The 7,190-nt window shown below is 38.9% G+C and overlaps 2 annotated features.

Moving 5' to 3' along the window:
- Positions 230 to 808: an enhancer, noted in NCBI's record as "OCT4-NANOG hESC enhancer chr6:98974101-98974679 (GRCh37/hg19 assembly coordinates)". NCBI's record gives its function as "activates a minimal SCP1, AML or CMV promoter by ChIP-STARR-seq in naive H9 embryonic stem cells {active_cell/tissue: H9 hESC(naive)}" and the evidence as "EXISTENCE:reporter gene assay evidence [ECO:0000049][PMID:30033119]".
- Positions 809 to 1,389: an enhancer, noted in NCBI's record as "OCT4-NANOG hESC enhancer chr6:98973520-98974100 (GRCh37/hg19 assembly coordinates)". NCBI's record gives its function as "activates a minimal SCP1, AML or CMV promoter by ChIP-STARR-seq in naive and primed H9 embryonic stem cells {active_cell/tissue: H9 hESC(naive and primed)}" and the evidence as "EXISTENCE:reporter gene assay evidence [ECO:0000049][PMID:30033119]".

Raw genomic sequence — 7,190 nt, 5'->3', positions numbered from 1 at the left:
AGCTCCTCTATGTGCTCGTGGTTAAGTCCCCACATGACAAAGCTGTGTAGGAAAGAGAAATGTTGCCCTGTGCTTGTGTTTCCCTTATTTTCTGGGGAAGCAGCTTAGTTTTTGCTTTTTTGACAAGTTCCCAGATGTTTTTCACAGTCCACTGTTTAAATTTTCCTGTTTTTCTGTACATAATCTTTGTCAATAGAGTGTATTTTTTATAGGTAACTGAATCACTGCTGCTAAAGTTGTCGTATTAATGAAGAAGTCAGAGCTGTCCCTGTAGTGCTGTAAGAAAGAGCTTAGAGTGTCTGGTGAGAGCCCGGCCACTTTGCTGGAGCAATCATTGAACACAGTTTATTGGATCAAGGCCCATTATCCAGGTCGAGTCCTGATGCTTGTCAGGCTCCCCTGTTTACTCTTTGTGAATACAGGGAAGTCTTGATGCCAGATTTGGAGTGTGGCTGTCCCTTTTACTGATTCCGGTAATGTATACTTGACTCTTGTTCAAGCGAGGGCAGGAGGATATTCTCCATATTACTAAAGACATATATGGTGCTTATGTAATTAATTTCTTTTGGACTGAGGACCTTAAAGATGATTAAAATCTTGTATATGATGCTAAACTACTTTGTCTGACTTTGCTACATGAATAATTATTTATTATTATGGGCAGGTACTGATCATTTAAAACCGTTAATTCTGTTTGCTCTGATTGAGCAGGTTTCTTATGTTTAAGTGACCACATAGACTATCGCATTCTGAGGTGCGTTATTTTAAGAAAAGAAGAGTCTGGTAGGTTTATCTAAGATTACATCAAACTGGAGAAAGCCAAAGTAAGACCCCTCCTCTCACTGCTGAGCCAAATAAGCACTGGGGCTGAGCAATTAGTGCAACACAAAGGCAACCATTACCGTATCAGAGCAAACCCCCATTGTCTTCTTGCACCCTGCAGGCTTGACAAGTTTTCTCCTGGGCTGCAGCAACTGTGATTTGGAAAGTAAACAATTTCTATGTCACATGACTGGATTCTTCCTTTAGGCATCCAGATGCCTGCCCTGATCTCGGGACTCCAACCTCAGCCACCAGGCTGGTAAAACTCACTGAGACTGGTCCGTGTATTGGGGATTAAAATGAAAGGGGGTGGGAATAGGCATCTTGGTATTTTATCAAAGCATTGTGTTTCGAGGCCTAAAGGACATGAGTGAGAGTGAAGGTGATGGAGGCTGTTGGAGGTGGCAGTGCAAGGAAAGTGCCAGCAACATGCTTTAGATTTGAACTAATCCGGGAGAAGTTGATTTGGGAAATAGAAGAAGGAGACAAAGACTGCCTCCCTGTGTTCTGGAGTCTCTGTCTTCTGGATAAGATAGTACTCCTTTCCATGGCAAAAACCCAAATTACTTTTGCACCACCCTATACGATGTGACCCTTCAACTTGGAGAAGCCCGAGAAAGCTAGCCCATAGCAGTACTGGTGCCCTGTAAGTGGGTGCAGATACTTTTCTGTGCTTAGAGACATTTTCTTTTAGGTCTACCCACTTGGGAACCAGATACTCATATTTTTTACTTTTCTTCACATATCATCTACACAAAGGCATATAGAAACAAAACCCTCAAGAACAAAACAATATAGTGAAGTAGAATTTATCATCATGCTATTATCAGGAGAATTCCTTTAAGTAAATGAACAATGTAGGCAGAAGGACACACCCAAATATTCAAAATAAAATTCTGATTCTCTTCTCCTTTTTTGGATATACTGCAAACACAAATTTACCACAATTATTTCAGTTGGAGCAAACATGTCCGCTTATATTCCTCTTATGTCTCCAGTTAATCAGCTTTGTATTTGGCTAATGAAGATTAGAAGCAAAAAAGCCTTCAGAGCAGCTTTCTGGAGAAACCATTTCTCTCTTGAGTGATGACCTCAGGACTACATGGGATCTATGGAGTTATCTGATTGATGGCATGCCACTCATCCATAATGATCTCTATAAAGCTGGACAATCATTCTCTAGATTGGTGCTGGTCGTTGAATAGGGTGCTGGGGAGTATTTTAGGCCATTGCATGGTGCAAGAGGATATGGATCTATTTATGATATCTTATGCAAATTTGCCCATGCATAGAAGTAAGTGGCATCAGAGGTTTTTTGTTTATATTTAGACTGTCCCTGGGAGGAGTGTGTCATATTGTGGCAAGTATATATTTCATTTGACATCATATTTTAAATAACCATTGGAAGAATTTAGAAACTGATTGTATTGGAAGTTTCTTCCTAAAATAGCCATTTATTAATTAACTCATATTTAATTTTTCAGCTGCTCTACATTTCATTTCTCCATCCCTTTTTTCTTCCCTGATAAACTTATAAAAACTATAATTTATTTAAAAGAAGAGGTGCTTCAAAATTGCTTATTCTTATTAGTTAAATCCAAAATACGCATTAACTTATTGCATACAGTAAGATTTATTCCGGTTAATTCCACGTCAGGAGACAGATTGGGTTATGACACAGCTTTAGCAGGTGTCTCATTTGGGCTGTATCTTAGCTGAGTCAGATGTATAAGGTGCTGACCCAGGTTGTATGGCAGAATAGTTAATTCCACATACTTTGGAGTCAGAAAGATCTCTGTTGAATGCTGATTGCATTATTTATTGACTTGGTGACCTCTGTGATTTTCTTTAAGCCTCAACTTGCTCATCTATAACATGGGCATTCTATTTCATAAGGCCGATGTGGTGAGGATTAATTGAGATAATGTCTGTGAAGTCCTTAGCAGGGTGCTCAGCACATTGTAAGTCCTCAAAGATGGCCACTCTTAATAGTCATACCATCACCATTATCTAGCATTTGTTGGAGGTATACAGTAATTCTCTTAAAGGCTATAGCTAGAATAACCTTTTGTCCCATGCTCTACATCTGTCCCTGCTGGAGTCTGCATGATGATGACACCTGTGGTATAATTTGTCCACTTCATTACCAGCTCTTCAAAGGTTCTTTAAACTCTCTTAACCAAGGAGATGAGAAAACTGGTGAGCTGGGTTGAACTCCCTCACAGCAATTCAGTGCTTCCAAGCAATACTGCAAGTGAGGGCAAAGAGGGGTGAAGATTGGAGGACACTCCAGGGACCCATTTCTAGTGCCTCACCTACTTCTCAGTTTCTGGAAATTGTACTGTTGCTTTCTATTCTTGATTTCCAGAGGGCCTTGGAATAATCCTACATCAGACAGTAAGTAATGTTTTCTGTCCCACAGTCATGAGCAGGCTTTGCTTCAACTCCAGCCACCAAACTCCTATTACCAATTTCTGACCAGCCTCTCTGGGATCAGAAAACCATGCAGGCCTTGTCAAACCATGTCCTTTAGAAAAGAGCTCTGGTTGAATAGTTGTGGGAGATTCTGTGTATACGATTACTCTCTGGAAAATTCAAAATGTGCATTAGCATACGAAAAGCTCTACACCTGAACTAAAGGAACTTGGTTAAACAAGCACTTCATCAAACATATTTAACCAAAGAATCATCAACTGCTTCCTAGACTCCTAAACACAATATCTCACTCTTTGGGAGACTTTGGAATAGTAGTTTGCTCTGCCATTGTGAGAAGCATAATTTTCTTTTAACCATTTTACTTCCATGCCTGCAGAAGAGGCCATGGTTAGCCAAAGAAGGGATTTTTTTTTTAACAGTTCTGCTTTTACTTTATTTTATTTTATTTTTTATTATTATACTCTAAGTTCTAGGGTACATGTGCACAATGTGCAGGTTTGTTACATATGTATCCATGTGCCATGTTGGTGTGCTGTACCCATTAACTCGTCATTTACATTAGGTATATCTCCTAATGCTATCCCTCCCCCCTCCCCCAACCCCATGACAGGCCCCACTGTGTGATGTTCCCCTTCCTGTGTCCAAGTGTTCTCATTGTTCAATTCCCACCTATGAGTGAGAACATGTGGTGTTTGGTTTTCTGTCCTTGCGATAGTTTGCTGAGAATGATGGTTTCCAGCTTCATCCATGCCCCTACAAAGGATATGAACTCATCCTTTTTTATGGTTTCATAGTATTCCATGGTGTATATGTGCCACATTTTCTTAATCCAGTCTATCATTGATGGACATTTGGGTTGGTTCCAAGTCTTTGCTATTGTGAATAGTGCCTGAATAAACATACATGTGCATGTGTCTTTCTAGCAGCATGATTTATAATCCTTTGGGTATATACCCAGTAATGGGATGGCTGGGTCAAATGGTATTTCTAGTTCTAGATCCCTGAGAAATCACCACACTGTCTTCCAAAATGGTTGAACTAGTTTACAGTCCCACCAACAGTGTAAAAGTGTTCCTATTTCTCCACATCCTCTCCAGCACCTGTTTCTTCCTGACTTTTTAATGATCCCCATTCTAACTGGTGTGAGATGGTATCTCATTGTGGTTTTGATTTGCATTTTTCTGATGGCCAACGATGATGAGCATTTTTTCATGTGTCTGTTGGCTGCATAAATGTCTTCTTTTGACAAGTGTCTGTTCATATCCTTCGCCCACTTTTTGATGGGGTTGTTTTTTTTTGCTTGTAAATTTGTTTAAGTTCTTTGTAGATTCTGGATATTAGCTCTTTTTCAGATAGGTAGATTGCAAAAATTTTCTTTTAAAAGAACTAGAGAAGCAAGAGCAAACACTTTCAAAAGCTAGCAGAAGGCAAGAAACAACTAAGATCAGAGCAGAACTGAAGGAGATAGAGACACAAAAAACCCTTCAAAAAAATCAATAAATCCAGGAGTTGGTTTTTTGAAAAGATCAACAAAATTGATAGACCACTAGCAAGACTAATAAAGAAGAAAAGAGCAAAGAATCAAATAGACGCAATAAAAAATTATAAAGGGGATATCACCAACGATCCCACAGAAGTATAAACTACCATCAGAGAATACTGTCAATACCTCTACACAAATAAACTAGAAAATCTAGAAGAAATGGATAAATTCCTCGACACATACACCCTCCCAAGACTAAACCAGGAAGAAGTTGAATCCCTGAATAGACCAATAACAGGCTCTGAAATTGAGGCAATAATTAATAGCCTACCAACCAAAAAAAGTCCAGGACCAGATGGATTCATAGCTGAATTCTACCAGCGGTACAAGGAGGAGCTGGTACCATTCCTTCTGAAACTATTCCAATCAATAGAAAAAGAGGGAATCCTCCCTAACTCATTTTATAAGGCCAGCATCATCCTGATACCAAAGCCTGGCAGAGACACAACCAAAAAAGAGAATTTTAGATCAATATCCCTGATGAATATCAATGCAAAAATCCTCAATAAAATACTGGCAAACCGAATCCAGCAGCACATAAAAAGCTGTCCACCATGATCAAGTGGGCTTCACCCCTGGGATGCAAGGCTGGTTCAACATATGCAAATCAATAAACATAATCCATCATATAAACAGAACCAAAGACAAAAATCACATGATTATCTCAATAGATGCAGAAAAGGCCTTTGACAAAATTCAACAGCGCTTCATGCTAAAAACTCTCAATAAATTAGGTATTGATGGGACATATCTCAAAATAACAAGAATTATTTATGACAAACCCACAGCCAATATCATACTGAATAGGCAAAAACTGGAAGCATTCCTTTTGAAAACTGGCACGAGACACAGATGCCCTCTCTCACCACTCCTATTCAACATAGTGTTGGAAGTTCTCACCAGGGCAATCAGGCAGGAGAAAGAAATAAAGAGTATTCAGTTAGGAAAAGAGGAAGTCAAATTGTCCCTGTTTGCAGATGTCATGATTGTATATTTAGAAAACCCCATCGTCTCAGCCCAAAATCTCCTTAAGCTGATAAGCAACTTCAGCAAAGTCTCAGGATACAAAATCAATGCACAAAAATCACAAGCATTCTTATACACCAATAACAGACAGACAGAGAGCCAAATCATGAGTGAACTCCCATTCACAATTTCTTCAAAGAGAAAATACCTAGGAATCCAACTTACAAGGAATGTGAAGGACCTCTTCAAGGACAACTACAAACCACTGCTCAACAAAACAAAAGAGGACACAAACAAATGGAAGAACATTCCATGCTCATGGATAGAAATAATCAATATTGTGAAAATGGCCATACTGCCCAAGGTAATTTTTAGATTCAATGTCATCCCCATCAAGCTACCAATGCCTTTCTTCACAGAATTGGAAAAAACTACTTTAAAGTTCATATGGAACCAAAAAGGAGCCCACATTGCCAAGACAATCCTAAGCCAAAAGAACAAAGCTGGAGGCATCACACTACCTGACTTCAAACTATACTACAAGGCTACAGTAACCAAAACAGCATGGTACTGGTACCAAAACAGAGATACAGACCAATGGAACGGAACAGAGCCCTCAGAAATAATACCACACATCTACAACCGTCTGATCTTTGACAAACCTGACAAAAACAAGAAATGGGGAAAGGATTCCCTATTTAATAAATGGTGCTGGGAAAACTGGCTAGCCATATGTAGAAAGCTAAAACTGGATCCCTTCCTTACACCTTATACAAAAACCATTTCAAGATGGATTAAAGACTTAAATGTTAGACATAAAACCATAAAAACCCTAGAAGAAAACCTAGACGATACCATTCAGGTCATAGGCACTGGCAAGGACTTCATGTCTAAAACACCAAAAGCAATGGCAACAGAAGCCAAAAATTGACAAATGGGATCTAATTAAACTAAAGAGCTTCTGCATAGCAAGAGAAACTACCATCAGAGTGAACAAGAAGGGATGTTTTAAATGAAATAAACTATTAGAATTTATCTACTAAACTGTATGGTTCTCATTGTGAGAAGAGCCCAAACATATATTACCGATATTACACCACTTTTGAATTGGGCTCATTTCATAGCTGTATCCTCTATTTTTGCCAAGATTTACTTACTGCTGGGATCAGGAAAAGAACAGACATAGCACACGCTGTAGCGACGAGCAGTTTCCATACATGCTGATGAATGTTTACATTTGTTGCATGCAGTCACGAACACTGTAATTAAACATAAACAGAAGTAATTCTGATCACAGTTCTAAGTACAATTTGCATTCAAAAATTAGAAAGTAAAATGTAATGATATATCCTAACCAAACCAAACCAAAACAAACAAACAAACAAACAATCCCCCAACTCCCATCTTTTCAAATACATACGTC

The sequence above is a fragment of the Homo sapiens genome, chromosome 6, assembly GCF_000001405.40.
Source record: "Homo sapiens chromosome 6, GRCh38.p14 Primary Assembly".
Taxonomy (NCBI): Eukaryota; Metazoa; Chordata; class Mammalia; order Primates; family Hominidae; genus Homo; species Homo sapiens.
Note: the sequence above shows the minus strand (reverse complement) of the source record. Positions and strands in the feature narration are given on the sequence as shown.